The 25,326-nt window shown below is 40.0% G+C and overlaps 1 protein-coding gene across 1 annotated transcript in view; it reads right to left on the minus strand.

Annotated features, from left to right (window-relative positions):
• USH2A (usherin) overlaps window positions 1-25,326 on the minus strand; it is an 800,558-nt gene that overhangs the window by 374,982 nt on the left and 400,250 nt on the right. Inside the window, exons 33-34 of the mRNA NM_206933.4 lie at window positions 2,531-2,690; window positions 1,015-1,186 (exon numbers count right to left, since the gene is read on the minus strand). Coding sequence (NP_996816.3) covers window positions 1,015-1,186; window positions 2,531-2,690 — 332 coding nt within the window. The remainder of the gene's footprint in view (window positions 1-1,014; window positions 1,187-2,530; window positions 2,691-25,326) is intronic.

The raw sequence follows: 25,326 nt of genomic DNA on the forward strand, positions 1-25,326 counted from the left end.
TGTGCAGAACACCTAGGCACATGGAGTCAGTTTTGAACAGTATTTTTTTAACCACTGTCTGATTGCCCTTGTTTTGTGGTGTTAAGTCAGACAGTTAGCAATAGTTGAGTGTAGTTTATTTTCTCATGGTATAATATTTAGAGCATTCAAGAGCATGTTAAGTAAAATGAATGCATACACAGTGTCTACATAAATGTAAATTTATTCATAATCAAGAGCAGAATATTTTCTATGGCATTTATCAAAGCAAATATCCTTATATAGGTATTGCTATAAAATGAAGAGTGTGTTTAAAACAAATAGGGACAATCTCATGTTTATATTCAGTTATTTTCAGACGTGCTATTAAACTTAAAAAAGATTATATTTCATCAAAAAACAAAAGGAATTACTGAGTATAAATTCCACAGTAATATCAAGGTCTTTTAAAAGACCTTTGTGTAAAAGTGCTATTTTTGCATTTAAAAAATGCTATTGTTTGTCTAAGGGAACCTCTAAACTATGTTGATTCTGGGGTTTTATTAAGTGACTGTTCTTCTGAGATAGGAGCATAATATAAACCAGAATGTAATAACAATCAAGAATATTTGACGGTCATTTAAACTTCCATTTAAAAATATAAGATCTAAATTTTCATACTGTGCATTGTTTTTTAAATGAATACAAATGCCACAGGGAAATAACCTTATGAATCCTAGCACTTTAGAAAAAGTTCTTAACAATTATGATGTTCTACAAGTAATTTTGAAAATCTTGATAATCCCAACTTTGACTTGGGAAAATCTACTGACTCAGGGTGTTATTCTATCATTTGCATAATATAAAATAAATGTGTAGGTATTAGATCACCAGAATTCACATTTAGGATGGGAAGAGAGTTTTCAGTATAAACAGCAATACATGAAGATTTTGACTTTTTTTTTTTTAAGTGAGAGAGAAAGAAAAGATGGACCACGGGAAGGGGAGAAGAAGTGGAAGGAATGGGGACAGAGAAAGTGATGGAAATAAACTTACTCCCAGCTTGATGAGATATTTATTACCAGGTAAAACGTATTGTAGCATATGATCCTGGAAAAGTTCTGTACTGTTATAGATGACACTCCAAATTGTAAAATCATGTGTATGGTTTGACATATATAATACATAGCGTTCCAGAATCCCACTTATTTTTCTTGGTTGTTTCCACCTGGGAATGGTAAAATACATTATTATCATTCATTCAAGTCAAAACTAAAATATACAGGATTTTCAAAGGACACATTTGAACTTGGATTTGTGACACTTTTTTAAAAAACATAAATCTCAAAATTGATTCATTTAAAATAAAACACTGAAGTAGTTATCCAATGCCTATTCTGAGGGGCAAAAAGGAAATGTGATATGGCTCCTGCCATCTGGTTACCTGTAATTTTAATTAGCTAACAATACAAAAATGTATAAGCGAGTATTTATTTTGAATTTAAGCTGTAGAACAAAAACTTCAGAAGCAGAACTTCTGAGAACTTAGATATGGGGAAAAGAGGGAATAATATAATTGTCCTGGAAAATCCAGGAATCCAACACAGGGTTAATATGTAATTAGAGAAAACAGTGAAATTGATGACTGGAAGGGCTGAAAAAATCAGGCAGGACTTCTTGAATGAAGTGACACACTACTTAGATACATAAGATTTTATTCTTAACAGATGGATTGGATTTGGATAGGTAGAAGGAAGAACAGAGGGCATTTCAGATGAGGGTTACAACTTAGCAGTGGAAATGAGAAGGGCAAGTCATAGAACAGACAGGAAATTGTTAAGCTGAGAAACACCTGAGTCGTGGGAAATCTTTTTGGCTAAGTAACGTGGCTTGGCTTAGGGGCACAATGAAGCCAACAGGAGAATTTAGACATGGAACAATGAGATCTGAATCATAATATTTTTCGGCTTGAATAAATGTCAGAATTCATTTAGTCTAAACTCTTATTTTACAGATAAGAAAACTGAGTCCAGAAGAGATAAATATGAACAAGTATTAACTCTTGATAAGAGAGACCTATTAGATTTTAGCTCAGCACAATAGTACACCTTATACCTCAGGTATCAGGAAATGGACAAGAATCAGTAATACCAGAAATCATCAGAACATGCCTATATGTGAAACTTCCTTTCTGACATCAACTGCAGGTAATAAGGGAATAAGAAGGTCCTGGACTATACTCAAAAAGATATACATACTTTCTAATTCCAAATTATTACAAATAATGCCCCAAACATAAAATATTCAAGGCAGTCATGAAAGTGGTCAGTTTTTTGTTTATTGAAGTTTGCATGGAATCTGTGTACCTATGTAGCTCAGCCTGATTGCATAAAGACAAAATGGAAATTAGGCTGGCAAGTGATAATCAAAGGTTCCCAGATCCACTGAACTAATCACTTCTATGCATTTAATCACAATAAAATTAATTTTATGTCACAAGCTCCTCCCCTGATTGAACTCACTGAGATTCTTGCATGAACCAGCATGTGAGAGAGACAACATTTCTACTTACTGTATGTGTATAGTTCTAGAATCCAGGACAGTCAGAACTGGGGAATCCACGTGTTCTGGTGGCAGCTGTGCTGTGTACAGTAGGACCCAGGAACTGTTTGTACAGCCCACATGTGTGCATGCACTTAGTAGAAACTGGTGGGGTGTAAATACTGCTAAATCTAGGGGATAGGGAGAAACAAGAATTTACTCAGCATTATACTTCTTATTGAGGAGATTTCACTCCTCCACTATAGTCCTATCTCAGAGAATTGTTAAGATAAGGCTTAAAATATGAATAAATAGCCATAAAAATCAATAGCAATAACATATAGGATGCTTCATCCCTTAAATATACTTTGGTTATGTTTAAATAGACAAGTGTCAATCAAACTCTTGTTTTGACTTTTTCATTTTAACAGTTTTACTGTTTTCTTGAACGTCTGTGACCAGGTAAATCATTTGCTAAGTTTAGTCTTAGTTCAATGGCTCTGTTTAAAAATAAATGAGATGTTTAAATTATTTTAAAGCATATTTGAAGACAACAGGAGTTGCCTTTGAAATGCCAATACATAGCTTGTAACAATGACTTTGAGCTTGTAATTCCGTTTGTCAGATTCCATTCTTCTCCTGTCCACCACCTGACTATTATTTGACCTTCAAATTGTCGAGGTGCAGTGCAGATGCCTGTTTCTTCCTTGTGATGTCCCTAACACTCCTTGCTGTCACCCCAGCACAAGATGGAGCTATTAGCCTCTTCTCTTTCTCTTTGTACATACTTTTAGCTTAACACTTAAAAACACTGTGTCATGACTATATGATACACTAAATACCTTAAGAGCAGGAATGGTAATATATTCATTTTGCATCCTTAGTATGTAGCACAATACCTGGCACATTGTAGGTTTTGAATATGTGTGTTTGAATGAATGAATAATTAATGAATGAAACGAGCTAGGTCTGAAAGATGACCATGAGACTAGGGTAGTGCCCTAGGCTGAAAGAATCTCTCCCTCCCCTGAACTTCCCTGGTATTTTATATTGTCTGTCTTTCTAATAGATACCACATTCTCTTGTATTAGATTAAACTAATCTGTAATATACTAACTCAATTCTGAAATATCCTGAACACTTCATTACACTTGGTAATCTAACCAAAGTTCAGTCAGGTGTACCAAGACTTACTAATCATTAATACTTTAACACTACTAGAAACAATCATTATTTTCTGACATACTTTTAAAATAAGTTAGTCACAATTTAAGTAACACAGATTCTTAAATCTCATTAACCATGAGCCACCACAATTTCATATTGAAGAGATTAATGAAATGCAACCTAATTCAGGCAAACAGATTTTGCATTGCACTGATAACAAAAGTAAACTGGGGAAAGAACACTTTGATTTTCATGCAAAGTACAATCAATTGGTTAAACATGTAGGTCACTAGAAGAGAGATTAAAAAAATAATTTACAGTAAATATGGTTACCTTAGAACAAAAAGTTGTCAACAAGAAGAGACTCTTAATGCTTTTGATTAAACCTTGTTTTCTTTACAAATTCTATCCTACAGGAATCCAATGGTTGCAAGTTGAGATGGGGCACTCCCATTCAATGTAGTCAGAATATATACTTCAAGGACACTTTGAAGCTGATGGTGAAGCAGTGTGGCATTGCCAGGGACTGCTGAGAGATGGCAGCAACAGTCGCACTATAGGTACACGACTGAGACATAACTGGGGTGCCTTCATTTGGACCAACGTTCTAGGAAACTTATGAAGTTAAAAAATCATTACAGCAGTGGCCTCAGATGCTACCGAGAGAGTAGACTATTATTTACTGAGAGAAAACTTTATGCAAAGAAAAACTCCTACCGACAGGGCCAATCTTGGCCAAAATTATAATGTGTTTATATGCTAACATATTGTATCTGCCATTCCTCTGTTCTCTTCATCTTCGCTCTCTGGTGACCTTTCTCTCTCTCATTGTTCTCATCTGTCTGAATTCCTTGTCCTCCCTGAAAAAGAGAAGCTGGGGATTTGACTCTAAGTCCCGTTGCAGGAGCAAAACCAAGGAGGTCACCAAGCTTAGAGGAATTCCTGATGGGTAATTCAGTGCAATTGGAGAAAACCTATAGTGTTTCAACTGAGAACACATCCAACTTTCTGAAAGAACATGCTCCAGCCAGAAATTATATTCCATGTGGCCAAATCCACGTGACCTTGAAATATATAATAGCCATATCAGATTGTCTTGGTCAGCCGCAACCGAGATTGGATGCTACAAAATTCTTTGGCCAGTGAACTCTTTGGAGTGGGATAGGTTTTCCTTCTTTCTTACATTCTACTTTGCTGGGGTGGGGATTTAGCTACCCAACTTGTAGGTGGTGAAGAAGTTACTCCATTCAAAAAGGCCCGATGCTTGCTTGCGTATGTTTCCATGGTACAGACTTGCATATCTGGAACTTAGGTATCTCAAGGTAGGACTTAGGTATCTCAAGAATGCATCATCATATTATCACATATCGCAGTGTCTGCTTATCACAGAGTGCCCCACTCACCTTTCCCCTATAAACTGCATGCGTTGAAGGTGACTATGATCACCTAAGCCCTAAACCCACCCAGAATATCCGCCTCAGATGGAAGGAGCTTCCTGAAGCAATTAGTTCAGGATTTGTTATCCGTGCCCGGATTCTTCCATGGAGTGGGAAGTGTCCGTTTCTATAACAACTGGGACTGGGGCAGGGGGCGGTCAGGATGGGAAGTGAGTATACTTAGAACAAGTATACCTCTCATGTTGCTTGAGAGGGTTAGAATGGCTAGTGAGCCAGGATTGAAATAGAAATAGTTTAGTTGAGCTTGTCAAATCCTCCATCCCTAGTTAGGGTTTGCCTCTAGATTATCCAAGGTATTATGAAGTTTATGGGTAAGAAAGGTGTTGCATTTTAGAAGATAGCATGTCTTTAAAGTGAATGTGTAACGGAGTTTAAGATGTTCATGCTGCATTACATGAAAACTGCTGCAGAAAACACAGAACAGAGGAAGGAGAATTAGAAGTTCTGGGTAATTTTAATAGTTAAGAGTCAGCAGAGGCCTCATTGGGAAGGTGGCATTTTGAGCAAAGACCTGAAGTGGGGATGAGTGTAAAAGTTATGGGAATTTTTGGGTTGGACCATTCCAAGAGAGGGAACAAGCAGAGCAAAGCTGTGGAAGGAGGGACATGCCTGACACTCTTGAGGACTAGCAGGGAGGCTGAGGTGGCTGGAGCAGAACAAATTAGGAAGAAGTAAGTTAGAGATGATATTAGAGATTTAATGAGGGGTCAGTTCATGCAGGCCTTGTAGGTCTTTGTAAGAATTTTGGTTTTTAATCTAAGAGGTTCTACTTAGGAAGACACTAAGGATTTTGAACAGAGCTGTCATGCAATCAAACATGGACTTCATGAGTATCATCCTGGCTGCCAGACGTATAGATGGTAGTGAGCAAGAGCATAAGAATACATCTCACTGAAGAGGCTATTTGTAATATCAAGTAAGTGGGGGCCAGTAATAATCAAGTAAGAAATGGTTAAATTCTGAATATGTTTTAAAGGCAAAGCTAACAGGATTTCCCAGTGCATTGTAGGTAGAGTATGAAAGAGAAGACCCAGAGTTGACTCCAAGGCTTTTGACCTGAGCAAAGGGAAGGATAAAGTAACCATTTTATTGGTTGAGGAAGGCATGGAGGGGAAGATAAGAATTCATATAATGAATGTCAATTAGACATTTGCTATGTTAGTTAGATAACCAAGAGGAGATTGTCAGGATATTTGAACAGAAGTTTGGAATTACAGGAAGAGTTCATGGCTTGAGATATATAATTTGGTAAGTCATCATCATATAGATGGCTAGGAGTGCAAACGGAGTGAGAATAGATATAAAAGAGAAAACCCTGGGATACCAACATATGAGGCCAATGAGTAAAGGAGAAATCAACCAAGGAGACAGAGAGTGACCAGTAAGGTATGAGGAAAACATTGAGATTATGGTGTCTTGAAAGTCAAAGGAAGTAATTTTTAAGAGTTAAAGGTGAAATAAGATGAGAATTAAAAATCGGCCATCGGGTATAACAATATGGCAGTCATCAGTAATTGCACAATTGAAGTTTCAGTGAACTTGTCAGCACTAAAGCCTGACTTAAGTGGGCTTATAAGGAAATAGAAGAGGAATTAGAAACAGTGAATAAAAGAACATTTTCAAAAAGTTTTGTGGTAAAGGAGAACAGATAAATGTAGCAATAGATAAAAGGTAAGTAGAATCAAGAGAAGATTTTTAAAGTAATTTAAATGAGAGAAAAATTTGTTGTATGTGATGGGATGACCCACTAGTGAAGGGAAAACTATGAAGTGGATGAAAGAGAAAAAAATTGCTGGAGTTTTGTCCTTGAATATGTGAAAGAGGAGAATCTAGTTCAAAAGTGAAAGAGTTGAACTTGGAACAGAGACAATCTATAGTAATGGGAGGGGATGCAGACTATGTGGGTGCCAATACTGGTAGGTGGGTAGATGGTAGCAGAGTCTATGGGCATTATCCTCTAACTACTTCAATTTTCCCAATGAAGAAAACAAGACCATTTACCATGAGTGATCTTTTGATTCTTCAGAGTAACACCCTGTAGTACCCTTCTTCTGCTCTTAGAACGAAATCTAATAATGGTCAATGAGATCCTATTTGATGTAACATTCTCCCTATTTTTTTCATACACTAGACTAGACATTATTCTGTTCTTCTAACACAACAAGTTCACACTTCTGGGCCTTTGCAGGTGCTGCTCCTTCTGACTGAAATCTATTTTCTCTCTCTTTGTACTTGGATTGCTCTTTCTTATGCTTCAGCTTCATCCTTCTATGAGTGGTCTTTCTTGATAATTGAACAATATGGCCACCATCATCCCCAGGTTCTTGTTATATCACCTTGTTTAGTTCCATATCATAATTACTAAAACAAGTTCAATATTGCCTTTTCATTTATATCTTGATATTATATCCTTCCCAGGAGAATGTAAACTTCTTGAGTTCAGATAAATATTTTTTATCATGTTCAGCAGGATATCTCCAGGAATGGTGTGATGACTAACTCGCATAATTTTACTTGTTGTAAATGAATGAGCAAGACCAGAAGGATATCCCCATGCCCTCTACCCAGGCTGCCATTTTTTTTTCTCAGAAATATAGTAATGTCTAAACATGTTTTAAAGTCTCCAAGAATATAATGAATATAATTGTTGGGCCAATGTAGGGGTCTATAGTTGTAAGACAAAGGAGATTTACCATTAAATACGAGAAAAAGGCAAAGCTGTACCTGTCTGAATGCCAAAACATAATTTTAAAGTACCAGTGCTTCATTGTAAAAGAAAGAAACAATAAAAAAAATAAAAACAAAACAGGAGATAGTGGTAAACCAAATGTTAACAATGTTTTTCTGAGTGAGTGCATATAGAGGATTTAATTTTTGTTACATATATTTTTCAAATTTTTTGTGATATATATTTATATCATAGATGGAGAAAAAATAGCCATAGTTAATATCAATCCATTATTTAAAAGAAGATATGCCCCAACCTAGTTAACGCATGCCCCCATCACATCTCCGGTCACACTGCTTCTCTCCTCTATGACTTCAGCATTGGCTCAGTTTTCTTTTCAATCATAATCCCTTTTTGGCAACTCTAACATCCTCAATAATGACTCATCTCTGAATCTGGCTTTACTTTAACTTCCTCAAATGCAATGCCCTTCACCTCTACTTCATTTATTCAACATTCAGCATAGTTACACCTACTACTTCATAATCTTCAGAATGATTTCCAAGATTCTAAATCTAAATCCTGCACTCTCTGACCACAAACTGGTTACTTCCCACCTCTTCCACTTGTCACATCAATGCAATCACTCCTATGCCGCTACACAATGTCCAGTCTCTTGGTACCTTCTTATTCCCAGATATTTTCAATAGTTTCATTTCCCTCATCAATGAAATTTGATCATCCATTACAAAGCCATACTCCCTGGGTCACATAGGGTTCTTCACATCCCCAGTCCTCTTCTATATGGCTATCCCAGTTCCCACTTCTGGATAAATCTTATCATCTTATGTCTCTAATACTTCTCATATCTCTAAGATGTTTCCGAGAGATGTCACTGAACACACTGAAAGAGTCTAGTATAATTTCAGGTTTTCCAGTTTGAACTGGGCTTTTGGAACTTTTCAGCCATAATTATGTTGTTCCTTTGTGACTCTCTTCATTATATTGATTTGTTTTTCCTTCTTCTCCTTTCATAGTTTGGACAATTCTCTTGAGGAACCAAGTAAGGGTTTACATTGAAGCCCTTAGAGCTTCCTCTTCTAAACTCCTACAATGCTCAGGATTTGTTCAATGGGTACTGAGATCAATCTGATTGTCATACTAACCTATTTTATTTCTTCCGTCCTTCCCTGCTACCGACCCTATATGTTTTCTGCATTTAATTTTTATCTAAATGCTTCTCAGTGATATGGTTTGGCTATGTCCCCACCTAAATCTCATCTTGAATTGTAGTTCCCATAATTCCCACATGTTGTGGGAGGGACCCGGTGGGAGATAATTGAATCATGGGGGCAGTTTCCCCCTTCTGTTCTCATGGTAGTGAATACGTCTCATGAGATCTAATGGTTCCATAAGGGGTTTCCCCTTTCCCTTGGCTCTCATTTCTGTCTTGTGTGCTACCATGTAAGATGTGCCTTTTGCCTTCTGCCATGATTGTGAGGCCTCCCCAGCCACATGCAACTGTAAGTCCATTAAACCTCTTTTTCTTTACAAATTACACAGTCTCGGGTATGTCTTTATCAGCAGCATGAAAACGAACTAGTACACTCAATTAAATTATAAAATCAGAATTTAACTATAAAATAGATTTCTCTGTAAAACAGAATGTGACTGGTCAGGAGGCAGAAAAAAAAACAAAAAAATCTTCTGGACAGAGTGACTGAGGGAACAGAGAAGGAAGACTCTGTTCCCTCAGATATAATGTTGGGAGAAATAGGAAGTATGGAGTCTTCCACTTCCCTAATTCAGAATTCCCTGCCTGATGGAATAAGGATAAAAGGAAGTAGAAATGTGCAAGCTCTCTGAAGGAGGGGCCCTGACCCCTGTTTTCAAGGTAGAGTCCCAGGTCGGGGGCAAGACCAGAGCAAAAAGAAAGACTTTGGTGTCTGTATTCAGGCAGGGCCACAGAAAACCTTGTAAAGATTTCAGTTGCCCAAGTGTGATGTAGAAGCACTGAGGATACCCACTGAATGTGGAAGGGTTGTCTCAATAGTTATCCCTTTGCACAGAGAAAGAAAGCATCCTGGGTGGCCACACTCCAGATGCTAAGGAACTAGGTAAGACCCCAGAAGCTTTTACATAATTAGTAGAGGTGGGGGGACCCCCAAAGTGACTGTGATTTACTTACTACTAAGTTGCATGGGAGTAAAGTCAGATATTAAACTGAATTATAGAAATAAAATCATAACTGTACACAGAGATAGAGACATACATATATGTCTTGAAGACTGAAATTTATGAATGCCACATACTCAACCAGCACCTCACCTATGCTTATCATAACCACACAGACAAGATTTTCAGAACCTAGGTACAATTGAAATGTTTTCTAAGTTTTTAAGATAAGCTAATTCACACCAAAAAAGTAGTTTGTTAGGTCAGATTTCTGGTTTGGGAAATCTGACTGCTATGTCGTCACTGTCAGGCCTCTGAGCCCAAGCTAAGCCATCATATCCCCTGTGACCTGCACGTACACATCCAGATGGCCGGTTCCTGCCTTAACTGCTGACATTCCACCATGAAAGAAGTGAAAATGGCCTGTTCCTGCCTTAACTGATGACATTGTCTTGTGAAATTCCTTCTCCTGGCTCATCCTGGCTCAAAAGCTCCCCCACTGAGTACCTTGTGACCCCCACTCTGGCCTCCAGAGAACAACCCCCCTTTGACTGTAATTTTCCTTTACCTACCCAAATCCTATAAAACGGCCCCACCCCTATCTCCCTTCGCTGACTCTCTTTTCGGACTCAGCCCACTTGCACCCAGGTGAAATAAACAGCCATGTTGCTCACACAAAGCCTGTTTGGTGGTCTCTTCACATGGACGCACATGAAATTTGGTGCCGTGACTCGGATCGGGGGACCTCCCTTGGGAGATCAATCCCCTGTCCTCCTGTTCTTTGCTCTGTGAAAAAGATCCACCTACGACCTCAGGTCCTCAGACCCACCAGCCCAAGGGACATCTCACCAATTTTAAATTGGGTAAGCAACCTCTTCTTACTCTCTTCTCCAACCTTTCTCACTATCCCTCAACCACTTTCTCCTTTCCACTCTTCAATCTCTCCCTTCTCTTAATTTCAATTCCTTTCATTTTCTGGTAAAGACAAAGGAGACATGTTTCATCCGTGGACCCAAAACTCTGGCGCCAGTCACGGACTGGGAAGGAGCCTTCCCTTGGTGTTTAATCATTGCAGGGACGCCTCTCTGATTATTCACCCCTTCTCTGCCTTTCTGGGGGGCAAGAAACCCCCAACCTCTTCTCCTTCACCCTTAGCAGCAAGTCCCACTTTTCTGGGGGAGGGGCAAATATCCCAACCTCGTATCTCTGTGCCCCAATACCTTATTTCTGTGCCCCGACCTCTTATCTCTGCACCCCAATCCCTTATTTCCACACCCTGACCTCTTATATCTCTGTGCCCCAATCCCTTATTTCCATGCCCCAACCTCTTTCCCACTTTTCTGGAGGGTAAGAACCCCTGAACCCCTTCCCTCCGTGTCTCTACTCTCTCTTTTCTCTGGGCTTGCTTCCTTCACTATGGGCAACCTTCCACCCTCCATTCCTTCTTCTCCCTTAGCCTGTGTTTTTAAGAACTTAAAACCTCTTCAACTCTCACTTGACCTAAAATCTAAGTGTCTTATTTTCTTCTGCAATACCGCTTGACCACAATACAAACTCAACAGTAGTTCCAAATAGCCAGAAAACAGCACTTTCAATTTTTTCATCCTGCAAGATCTAAATAATTCTTGTCATAAAATAGGCAAACGGTCTGAGGTGCCTGACGTCTAGGCATTCTTTTACACATCGGTCCCTTCCTAGTCTCTGTGCCCAGTGCAACTCGTCCCAAATCTTCCTTCTTTCCCTCCCACCTGTCCCCTCAGTCTCAACCCCAAGCGTCCAAGCGTGGCTGAGTCTTTCTAACCTTCCTTTTCTACAGACCCATCTGACCTCTCCCCTCCTCCCCAGACTGCTCCTCGCCAGGCCAAGCTAGGTCCCAATTCTTCCTCAGCCTCCGCTCCTCCACCCTATAATCCTTTTATCACCTCCCCTCCTTACACCCAGTCCGGCTTACAGTTTCGTTCCATGACTAGCCCTCCCCAACCTGACCAGCAATTTACTCTTAAAAAGGTGGCTAGAGCTAAAGGCATAGTCAAGGTTAATGCTCCTTTTTCTTTATCCCAAATCAGATAGCGTTTAGGCTGTTTTTCATCAAATATAAAAATCCAGCCCAGTTCATGGTCGCTCGGCATCAACCCTGAGAAGCTTTACAGCCCTAGACCCTAAAAAGTCAAAAGGCTGTCTTATACTCAATATACATTTTATTACCCAATCTGCTCCCGACATTAAATAAAACTCCAAAAATTAAATTCTGGCCCTCAAACCCCACAACAGGATTTAATTAACCTCGCCTTCAAGGTGTACAATAATAGAAAAAAGTTGCAATTCCTTGCCTCCACTGTGAGACGAACCCCAGCCACATCTCCAGCACACAAGAACTTCCAAATGCCTGAACTGCAGCGGCCAGGCCTTCCTCCAGAACCTCCTCCTCCAGGAGCTTGCTACAAGTGCCAGAAATCTGGCCACCAGGCCAGGGAATTCCTGCAGCCCAGGATTCCTCCTAAGCCACGTCCCATCTGTGCCGGACCCCACTGGAAATCGGACTGTTCAGCTCACCTGGCAGCCACTCCCAGAGCCCCTGGAACTCTGGCCCAAGGTTCTCTGACTGACCCCTTCTCGGCTTAGTGGCTGAAGACTGACACTGCCCGATCGCCTTGGAAGCCCCCTAGACCATCACGGATGCCGAGCTTTAGGTAACTCTCACAGTGGAGGGTAAGTCCATCCCCTTCTTAATCAATACGGAGGCTACTCACTCCACATCACCTTCTTTTCAAGGGCCTGTTTCCCTTGCCTCCATAACTGTTGCAGGTATTGACGGCCAGGCTTCTAAACCTCTTAAAACTCTCCAACTCTGGTGCCAACATAGACAATACTCTTTTAAGCACTCCTTTTTAGTTATCCCCACCTGCCCAGTTCCCTTATTAGGCTGAGACACTTTAACTAAATTATCTGCTTCCCTGACTATTCCTGGACTACAGCTACATCTCATTGCTGCCCCTCTTCCCAATCCAAAGCCTCCTTTGCGTCCTCCTCTTGTATCCCCCGACCTTAACCCACAAGTATAAGATACCTCTACTCCCTCCTTGGCGACGGATCATGCGCCCCTTAACATCTCATTAAAACCTAATCACCCTTACCCCTCTCAATGCCAATATCCCACCTCACAGCATGCTTTGAAAGGATTAAAGCCTGTTATCACCCGCCTGCTACAGCATGGCCTTTTAAAGCCTATAAACTCTCCTTACAATTCCCCCATTTTACCTGTCCTAAAACCAGACAAGCCTTACAAGTTAGTTCAGGATCTATGCCTTATCAACCAAATTGTTTTGCCTATCCACCCCATGGTGCCAAACCCGTATACTCTCCTATCCTCAATACCTCCCTCCACAATCCATTATTCTGTTCTGGATCTCAAATATGCTTTCTTTACTATTCCTTTGCACCCGTCATCCCAGCCTCTCTTTGCTTTCACTTGGACTGACCCTGACACCCATTAGGCTCAGCAAATTACCTGGGCTGTACTTCAAAGCTTCACAGATAGCCCCCATTACTTCAATCAAGCCCAAATTTCATCCTCATCTGTTACCTATCTCAGCATAATTCTCATAAAAACACATGTGCTCTCCCTGCTGATCGTGTCTGATTAATCTCCCAAACCTCAATCCCTTACAAAACAACAATTCCTTTCCTTCATAGGCATGGTTAGTGCGGTCAGAATTCTTACACAAGAGCCAGGACCACACCCTGTAGCCTTTCTGTCCAAACAACTTGACCTTACTGTTTTAGCCTAGCCATCATGTCTCCGTGCAGCGGCTGCTGCAGCCCTAATACTTTAGAGGCCCTCAAAATCACAAACTATGCTCAACTTACTCTCTACATTTCTCATAATTTCCAAAATCTATTTTCTTCCTCATACCTGACGCATATACTTTCTGCTCCACGGCTCCTTCAGCTGTACTCACTCTTTGTTAAGTCCCACAATTACCATTGTTCCTGGCCCGGACTTCAATCCAGCCTCCCACATTATTCCTGATACCACACCTGACACCCAAGACTGTATCTCTCTGATCCACCTGACATTCACCCCATTTCCCCATATTTCCTTCTTTCCTGTTCCTCAGCCTGATCACGCTTGATTTTTTTTTTTTTTTTTTTTTTTTTTGAGACGGAGTCTCGCTCTGTCGCCCAGGCCGGACTGCGGACTGCAGTGGCGCAATCTCGGCTCACTGCAAGCTCCGCTTCCCGGGTTCACGCCATTCTCCTGCCTCAGCCTCCCCAGTAGCTGGGACTACAGGCGCCCACGCTTGATTTATTGATGGCAGTTCCACCAGGCCTAATCATCACACACCAGCAAAGGCAGGCTATGCTACAGTACAAGCCACTAGCCCACCTCTTAGAACCTCTCATTTTCTTTACATCATGGAAATCTATCCTCAAGGAAATAACTTCTCAGTGTTCCATCTGCTATTCTACTACTCCTCAGGGATTATTCAGGCCCTTCCCTACACATCAAGCTCAAGGATTTGCCCCCACCCAGGACTGGCAAATTAGCTTTACTCAACATGCCCCTAGTCAGATAACTAAAATACCTCTTAGTCTAGGTAGACACTTTCACTGGATAAGTACAGGCCTTTCCTACAGGGTCTGAGAAGGCCACCGCAGTCATTTCTTCCCTTCTGTCAGACATAATTCCTCAGTTTAGCCTTCTCACCTCTATACAGTCTGATAACAGACCAGCCTTTATTAGCCAAATCAGCCAAGCAGTTTTTCAGGCTCTTAGTATTCAGTGAAACCTTTATATCCCTTACGGTCCTCCGTCTTCAGGAAAAGTAGAACGGACTAAAGGTCTTTTAAAAACACACCTCACCAAGCTCAGCCGCCAACTTAAAAAGGACTGGACAATACTTTTACCACTTTCCCTTCTCAGAAGTCAGGCCTGTCCTCGGAATGCTACAAAGTACAGCCCATTTGAGCTCCTGTATAGACGCTCCTTTTTATTAGGCCCCAGTCTCATTCCAGACACCAGACCAACTTAGACTGTGCCCCAAAAAAACTTGTCATCCCTACTATCTTCTGTCTAGTCATACTCCTATTCACCGTTCTCAACTACTCATACATGTCCTGCTCTTGTTTACACTGCCAGTTTACACTGTTTCTCCAAGCCATCACAGCTGACATCTCCTCATGCTATCCCCAAACTGCCACTCTTAACTCTTGAAGTAAATAAATAATCTTTGCTGGCAGGACTATGCTGAATCTCCTTAGGCACTCTCTAATCAGATGTCCTGAGTCGTCCCAATACTTAGACCTTTTATACCTGTTTTTCTCCTTCTCTTATTCCATTTAGTTTTTAATTCATACAAAACTGTATCCAGGCCATCACCAATAATTCTAAATGACAAATGTTTCTTCTAACAACCCCACAATATCACCCCTTACCACAAGACCTCCCTTCAGCTTAATCTCTCCCACTCTAGGTTCCCACGCCGCCCCTAATCCCGCTCGAAGCAGCCCTGAGAAACATCGCCCATTATCTCTCCATACCATCCCCCAAAATTTTCGCTGTCCCAACACTTTACCACTATTTCATTTTATTTTTCTTATTAATATAAGAAGACAGGAATGTCAGGCCTCTGAGCCCAAGCTAAGCCATCATATCCCCTGTGACCTGCACGTACACATCCAGATGGCCGGTTCCTGCCTTAACTGCTGACATTCCACCACGAAAGAAGTGAAAATGGCCTGTTCCTGCCTTAACTGATGACATTGTCTTGTGAAATTCCTTCTCCTGGCTCATCCTGGCTCAAAAGCTCCCCCACTGAGTACCTTGTGACCCCCACTCTGGCCTCCAGAGAACAACCCCCCTTTGACTGTAATTTTCCTTTACCTACCCAAATCCTATAAAACAGCCCCACCCCTATCTCCCTTCGCTGACTCTCTTTTCGGACTCAGCCCACCTGCACCCAGGTGAAATAAATAGCTTTATTGCTCACACAAAGCCTGTTTGGTGGTCTCTTCACACGGACTCACATGAAAGTCACTACAATAGAAATTGGGTATTTTCTTTTGGTTTTAAAAATCTGAAAACTGTAAACATAATACAAAGAAAACCATTGTGATTAAATAGCTTTTTTGAGTTCCAAGTTGTTTTTATGCCTGTACTGTCCATCCCAAAGTGGATTATTCTCAATGTATTTCCATAAGAAGATGAAATGTTACTAGTGTTCTTTGAATAATAAAGCATGAAAAAAGAGAGAGAGAGAGAGAAGAGAACCTAATTTGACATGTGGCAGAGAAAGTTGCACGGTGATCTGATTGGGAAATTCTTGGTAAAACAGGAGGAAATGATGAGGGAAAGGGAAAAAAATGGAGAAGAGGAGGAGGCATCAGGTTGGGCGTGGGGGGAAGGAGTAGTCATGTGTAAAATGTATGAATGGAATGAGAGAGTTTTTAAAAACAGTTAACAAAAAGAAATGAAAAAAAGATTGGTTACAGGGAAGTGAGGCTGATAAATTCTTTGAGAGTGAAGCCATAAACAAAGCCACCAATTTGAAATTTAAAGCAAAGAGGAAAGTAATGACAACTCTCCTCCTAGCTTAACTGCAACTGATTTGGTAATATGTCTCTATAGATGTGATTAGGCACTTCAAGGGCAACACAAATGGATCAACGGATTCAAACAATTGCAGGTATGTACACAAATCTGAGTTGGGTAAATGGAGGGTGGGGAAACCCTGAAAACATAAGGCCACTGTTTGTAAGAGCCCCTGAGCAACAACATCTTGTTTTCCATTTGCTTGATTGCATCATTTGCATAAGATCAAACACAGGGAGTTGTGGACAGGGAAAAACAGATCACTCTAATATGCATTAGAAATGGATCCACAGGCATTATCCTTAGACGTGTTACAAGGAAATGCATCCCAGTGCATGGAAACCTTACCGATTACTGTCAAGCAAACTATAATTTACAATACTGGCCATGAATTATGTGCTATTTTACGATTGATTTCATGCTGTTGTTCAGAGAATTTCATTGATCTCAATTTACAAAATGAACCAGTAAGTAGGTGATGATTTTCTTTAAACTCATGGTGTAAACTGAGGAATTTATATCTTCTTATTTGTTTCTACCATCAGAAAATTACATAGCACTTTTTTGCTTCTTTATGATCTAATACATATTGTCTGGGTCTTCTTCCGAAAACTTCTTAATATTTCATAAATTAAAAACACAGCTTTTTCCTGGTTTTCCTTTCTTCTCTCTGTGCAACCTTCCCACAAATCATCAATTAGATGTTTAAAAATTTTAGAGCAATATAGGTAGCACTGACCACATCATCTTGCTATTTGGTATTCCAACCTGAGAACCTCTGCTAGGTTATGGTTCAGTGAGAACACATCTTCGGCAGCAAACCTAAGGGGTGATATGTTTCTCGTAGATGCCTGAAAAGCAATGAGCTGCGCCAGAATGCATGTGGAATATCAGGTTGCATTCATCTCTGCCATTGTGTAGCCCTTGCTCCACAATTGCTTGCTCAGCATTTTGATTCCAGGAGAACCAGATTCTGACCTTATAATTAATAAAAACAGGGGCTTTATTCAGCCTGAACATCCTTGCTCTCCTTTTCCTCATAGGAGCCTTAACCTTGCAACATGCTTTTCTTTGGCCAGATGAGCAATTAACCATCACTGAGATCCAGTCCTGTGCTTTCAAACTGATCTGTAGAGTTGAAATCACTTTGAGGAATCGCCACACTGTCTTCCACAATGGTTGAACTAGTTTACAGTCCCACCAACAGTGTAAAAGCATTCCTATTTCTCCACATCCTCTCCAGCACCTTCTGTTTTCTGACTTTTTAATGATCGCCATGCTAACTGGTGTGAGATGGTATCTCATTGTGGTTTTGATTTGCATTTCTCTGATGGCCAGTGATGATGAGCATTTTTTCATGTGTCTGGATCTAGAACTAGAAATACCACTTGACCTAGCTATCCCATTACTGGGCATATACCCAAAGGATTATAAATCATGCTGCTATAAAGACACATGCATACGTATGTTTATTGCCGCACTATTCACAATAGCAAAGACTTGGAACCAACCCAAACGTCCATCAATGAAAGACTGGATTAAGAAAATTTGGTACATATACACCATGGAATACTATGTAGCCATAAAAAAGGATGAGTTCATGTCCTTTGCAGGGACATGGATGAAGCTGGAAACCATCATTCTGGGCAAACTATTGCAAGGACAGAAAACCAAACACCGCATGTTCTCACTCATAGGTGGGAACTGAACAATGAGAGCACATGGACACAGGGTGGGGAACATCACACACCAGGGCCTGCTGGGGGGTGGGCGGGGAGGGGAGGGATAGCATTAGGAGATATACCTAATGTAAATGACGAGTTAACAAGTGCATCACACCAACATGGCACATGTATACATATGTAACAAACCTGCACGTTTTGCACATGTACCCTAGAACTTAAAGTAAAATAATTTAAAAAAGGAAAAAACAAAAACAAAAAGAAAAGAAATCGCTTTGCTATGATAAGGACTTATATTTAAAACTGAACACAAACCACATACTAAACTCAACAAATTCTTCCATTTGTGCTTATGTTTTCCACCTTATCAGAGAAATCCACATCCCTCCCTTTCATGAAAACCCTGTTCAATGTTTGCATTATCCATGAAACATCTCCTGACTCTCTTCAACATATGCGTAGTTTGTACTCTACTGAGTTGCCCTTTTAATAAATTTCTCTTGTAAGCATCCTTATACCAGTCATCAGTAGTTACAGTGTTATAAGCGCTTTGAGAACAAGGATGTATCTTATGACCCCTAACACCTTGGACACTCCTAATTGTTGAATAGTAAAACCTTTCTGCAATAAGAAAACTGGCAAAAAAGAAAGGAGGACCTGGTGCCTCCAACACATTTGCAGCAGGTGGCATGTGGTAGGGGAGCCCAGCCTGCTGAGGGTTTTCAGTCACTACTTTGTGTGTGTGTGTGTGTGTAGTGGGGGCGGGGGTGGGAGGTAAGGGAGAACCCTTATTGTCAGTTGTGATAGTGAAGGATGATGCTTCTTCATTTCCCTCTTTTCTTCTGTGGCTGGTTAGAATAAAAAGGCGTCCATGAAAAACTCCTTAGGCTGACAGCATTCTTAGCTAGCTGCCTTCTACTCTGGCTTCCTGAACATCTCTAATACCCCATTTGTAATAATTATAAAATATTGAACCCAGGATTTTTTTCTTGGTTACTTTTATGATATAAAATGAGAGAAAGCCCCTCGTTTCATCCATCCATCCCTTCCTCCCTCTTTCCTTCTCTCTCAGTCTCCTCTCGTGTTCTCTCTCTATCTTGCTATGGTTCTCTGTCTCCATCTACACACACATACAAAAACACACACGCACACACACAAACATCCTACTGACTCCCCTACTTTGCCTCTGCACAAGGATAGATATAGAATTAGGGAGGCATCAGTTAGCTTTTGATCTTCATCAATGCTTTCGATTCATAAACTAAAGAGGAGATAATCGAGATAACTTTATAGAGTTATTATTTGAACAAACTTAGTTGCATAACTTGGCTAAATCTTTCTTGCAAAACTGGAGGTTTTTCTCTCAGAATTAGTTGGATATTTGCTACTATCATATTCTTTAACAAGATTAGGAATCAATTAATACTTTGTAAGAAAATATTCATGTGACATACAATATATAATATCTTGTTAGGCAACAGAAGTTAATAATGAGACATAATAAGAATAATAAGTTCCTGACTACCTGTGGCAGGAAAAGAGTAGGTTTATGAATCAGTGTTCCCTTTCAAATATCGTAGTGAAGATTAAGATGCTGTTAATTCAGTAATAATCATGGCTATATCACTGACTGCTACTTGCTGTTTGCCAGGCAGTGCTAAGTCTATTGTCAGCTTAGTAAAGTATCACCTGAGAATGGTTCTCAATGAAAACCTATAATCAATCCTTAAATATTATTTTAATACTATTTCAACCTAGCCCTATACTACGCCTTATATAGCATAAGAAAGTAATGAATCTCTATCCTCAATGGCCAAGATATCTCTTTTGGGTGGCAAGACATACACATTTCTTTTTTGGCATAGTCTCATGCTACCCTTAAGACACAAATCAAATGCCACACCCTATAAGAAACCTTCTCAAACTCTTTCAGTTTGGATTAATTTCTCTTTTGTGCTTCACTAGTGTCATTTTTACTACTATTATAACATTTAATATGGATTACTGTATTATTGGGTACATTCTTAATTACACCTTAAGCATAAACTCTTAGAAGTAGAATTTCCCAGTCAAAGAGGGATCATTTGGGGTCCTCCTGACAAGGGAGAAGATGGCACACTGAAATGGAATTATTGAAGAGAAATATGTCAGGGACTATTTACAGGATTTGGGCCAGGCTTAAGGGGCACATTCAAGAATAAGAACGCAGCTAGTGGCTAAACACAGACCAAGCCATTGCTGCCTTAGGCTGAGGACCACATCCAGCTGGAAAGACAGCTGTACTGTAGGAAGGGCCTCCCCTCAATGGAGGAACAGCTACTGCCCATCTGAACCCTTGCAAGCACAGAGCCTGGGGACCCTTGCAAGCACAGAGCCTGAGGAATAAACACTTCGGCCTCATTCCCTCCTGTCTGTTGTTCTCTTTATTGTGTCTTACGTTGGCAGAACCCAAAGAGAATCCAGAGGCTAAAGCTCAGGACAAGGTAGAGAAAAGTAGAGCACACATTTACAGGGGGGATTGAGACCATACAGAACAAAACTGTGGCACATTATGATATAAATTGCCAATTTTCATTCACAGCAGCATTATGTGAAAGAGCTCTTTTCTCCATCTTCTAATCAATATGGAAAAATCTAATTTTAAAAAATATTTACACATTTGAAAAATGTTAAGTAGCATCTCATTTATTATTATTATTATTATCTCTGTGACTATATTTACATATTTTTTTCTTTTTGGATGTGCCTGTTTATCTAATTGACCCATATCTAATAGTGTTTCTCTTTTTCTAATTGAAAGCTAATAAGTCAACATTACTTGGATATAGCACCTAGTATAGTGCCTATTACTTAGCAAGCTATCAATAGATATTTATTAAATAAGTATGCTATAAAGTATTTTGTTCTAGTTTGTCACTTGTTTTATCATTTCAATAATGGTTTTATTTTGCTATATAGACAATTTAAATCTTTATGCAGTCAAGTATGACAATATTTTCCTAGAATTTTATCTGGCTAGAAGAATATACAATACTTCAAAAAGGAGATAGAACTTAAATTGAAAATTGCTTAGGTTTTAAAGCAGTGGAGATAGAGAGTGAAGACATTCTGGATGGGAAGAGTTGGCAAAAAGACTGTAGCAAAATGCAGTACAAGCTTAAGGAGAAATGTTTAGCTTAGTTCAACATAGTTCAGTTTAGCTGGAGCACAGGACATACGAAAGAAGTGAAGGAAGTAATACTAAAAACCATTCTTTGGGGCCACCATTAAAGACCAGGCTAATAATTTTGTAGTAATTTTGTAGTAATGAATGCAATGGATGATAAAAATGGGGGGAGAAGTTAGAAGAGCTTTGTTTAGTCTTTGTTCTGGTGTTAGCTGCCTGCATGAACTTGGAAAAAAATAGTTGCCCTCATTGGATCTTAGTTTATTCATCTATAAAACGAGAAATCTGTGTTTATGTTAGATGCTTTCTAAGATTAAATTCTCTACTGTATGTCTATTTAATAAAAACAACTTGGCAATCAGAATTTTGTGATAAAATTGTCTGCTTCTTGGATACTTGCTCTAGTAGTTACAAAGGCTGGGAGAGCGTCACCCATTTAATTCATCATAAAATGTCTTGCAGTTTAATTTGGAGTGATATGCTGAGCAAGTACTCCTTAATAGCTTTGAATATAAGAAGACAGCGGGTAGGATGAGCACAATGGAGTAGCAGACTTTAAATTGTAAGGTTAGGTTGTAAATAAATATCCTATTAGAATTATGCTGTATACCTACTTGCAAAAAACACAATGCATCATATGCAACAGTTGCATGTTAAAAAGCTGGTAAAGTGTTTGATGTTGCAAGTGTAAATTAACAACTAGTAGTATTTGGCCCATTATAAGATATTTAATGGATTGTCTATCTTTGAATCATTTCTGTAGAATGATGAGCTTTTCTCTTTTAAAACAGCAATTTTCAAATCACAGTCTGTTGACATTTCTGTGGGAAAGACACTTATAAGTGTTCACACTATGACAACACCTTTTTTATTTCTGAATTAATTCATATAATACTGATGATTTTAAATAAAATAATACATCTGTGATGGTTACTTTTGTGTGACAACTTGGCCAGGCTATGGTATCCACTTGTTTGATCAAACACCAATCTAAATGTTGCTATAAAGTTATTATTTAGATGTGATTAACATTTATTTATAGATAGTTGACTTTAAGTAAATTACCCTACATAGTATGGGTTGGCCACATCCGATCAGTTGAAAGCCTTTAGAGCAAAGATTGAAATTTCCCAAAGATGAAAGAATTCTGCCTCAAGACTGCATGATAAAAATTCTATGGGAGTTTCCAGTCTGCTGGCCTGCAGTGATATAAGAAGATATTTGGTCTTTGTACCAGGTTTCTGGCACAGAACTCTTAAAATCCTTGGAATTTTCTGAGTGATAAAGATGATAGTAGCATCTTTTGTTCTAATTAAGTGACTGTCAGACGGCCCCTAGACTACTTCAAAATAAGGGCTGTTCCCCAGAAAGACCAAACCTTGATTAGAAGCTTGGAACTTTCAGCTTCACTACTCAATCAGCAACCGCTTGGGAGAAGGGGAGTGGCTGGAAATTGAGTCAATCATCAATGGCTAATGATTTGATCAATCATGCCTATGTCATGAAACCTCCTAAAAGCCCCTAAACAGAATTTGAGGAGGTTTGTCATCTGGCTGTTTATATGCATCCTTTAAAATAAACTGCAATAGTAAGTAGAGCATTTTCTTGAGTTCTGTGAGTCATTCTAGCAAATTATCAACCCTGAAGAGGGGGTTGTGGGAACCCAAGACTGTGTAGCTCAGCTGGAGAGAATTGTGGCTAAAGTGGGGACTCAATACTTGTGCCTGGCCTCTGAAGGGAAGGTAGTCTTGTGGGACTGGGCTCTTAAATCTATGGAGTCTTACTCTAACTCCAGGTAGTTACTGTCAGAACTGAGCTGAACTATAGCATGCCTAGTGAGTGTCAGAGAATTGAAGAAGTGGTGTTGGAAAAGACACCACATTTTGTGTCATGAGGAACAAAAACCTCTCATCTGCCCTGATGTGGTTTGGCTGTGTCCCTGCCCAGATCTCATCTTGAATTGTAGCTCCCATAATTCCCACGTGTTGTGGGAGGGACCCGGTGGGAGATGATTGAATCATGGAGGCAGTTTCCCCCATACTGTTCTCGTGGTAGTGAATAAGTCTCATAAGATCTGACCATTTTATAAGAGGTTTCCCCTTTCGCTTGGTTCTCATTCTCTATTGTCTGCTGCCATGTAAGACATCTCTTGCTCTTCTGCCATGATTATGAGGCCTCCACAGCCATGTGGAACAGTGAGTCAATTAAACCTCCTTTTTTATAAATTACCCAGTCTTGAGTATGTCTCTATTAGCAGCGTGAGAACAGACTAATACGTGCCCTGAAGATTTTGGTCCCAAGACTACAACACTAACTCTTCCCTGGATATCTAGCCTGCTAACATGCCCTGCAGACTTCAGATTTTAGATTTGTCAGCTCCCACAGTCATGTGAGCCAATTCCTTACAATAAATCTCTCTTTCTCCATTCTGTTTGTCTGAGAACCCTAATGGAACATCTTTGGTATCTCATAAAAGGAGGACCTGATTGTGAGTGTAAGATATATTTAGATCTGCCTGGGTATATCTGGCAAATTGGGTGGTGCTATGGTTTGGATAGGGTTTGTTTGGCCCTGCCAAATCTCATGTTGCAATTTGATCCCCAACATTGAGGCTGAGCCTTTTAGGAGGTGTTTGGATCTTGGGGTCAGATCCCTCATGAGTGGCTTGGCATCATTCTCATGGGAGTGAATGAGTTCTCACTCTTAGCTCCCACAAGAACTGGCTGTTGAAAAAGAGCCTGACACTTCCTCCTCTCTCTCTCTCTCTTGCTTCTTCTCTCATCATGATATATCTGCTCCCCTTCACCTTCCACCATGAGTAAAAGCTCCCTGAGGCCTCCTCAGAATCAGATGCTGCCATGCTTCCTGTACAGCCTCCAGAACCGTGAGCCAATTAAACCTCTTTTCTTTATAAATTACCCAGTCTTGGGTGATTCCTTTATAGGAACACTAAATGGACTGAGACAGGTGGCCAGGCTACCAGCAGCATACTGCCATTAGAACTGGGGAGTGGCATTCTTGGCGTGGGGTTGTGGGGGACAGTCATGGAAAGAGGGAACACCTCTGGGTGTGCTGTTAACTCAGATATCTCTGAACATTGTGAACAACGTGGGAGATAACCCAGCGAAAGCCCATGCACTGGAAAACATTTTGAAGAATTCACCATGAGAGAAATCGGAGCCAGGTATGGTGCCCTGGTTCTCAGAAGAGAGAGATCATTCTGAGAGCCTTGGCTAGTTTACTCAGATTTGTATTTAGAGTAAAACAAAGAAGATCTGTTTTGTTAAACCTTTAAGATACCAAAATCTACTCAGTATTCTTTTAGGACTCACTTAAGAAAGAGGGAGGCAAGGAAGAAAGACATTTTTCCACCACTACTTTTAACATAGTCTCATTCAGCTTTGGTACTAGCAGAATACAGAACAGTGATACAGATATAACAGCAGAGGGGCATATTAGAATCGACTGGGACAGCTCTACCTAGCAAAGCAGTCCTGGTACTCACCTGACGAGGAATATCTAAGGTGGCCCCTGGTGGAAAACTATTCCACCTGGCACAGCAGTGGGAGAGCTCAGGTACCTGGTGGAGCAGCAATGGAAGAATAGCAGTGCTCCTTATGCCCATAGATGATGGTGTTTATCCAGAGAAGGGACATGGAGATGCCCAGTGGAGTAACCGTGGCACTTAGCCAATTGGTGTCCAGCTTGATCCTAAGTGCAAGTGAGAAAACCCATATGGACTCCCCAGAAATGCATGAGGATTAGTTTGCTGGAGGCAGAGATCATCTACAGCAGGTGAGGGCAATGAGGCAGTGAAATACAAATATTAGAACTAATGAGACTTATTTGTACATTCAGATTAATGGGATCTAGGAAAATTCAAGATAAATCTATCTATATCTATATCTATATATCTACCT

This window comes from Homo sapiens, chromosome 1 (genome assembly GCF_000001405.40).
Source record: "Homo sapiens chromosome 1, GRCh38.p14 Primary Assembly".
Classification (NCBI taxonomy): Eukaryota; Metazoa; Chordata; class Mammalia; order Primates; family Hominidae; genus Homo; species Homo sapiens.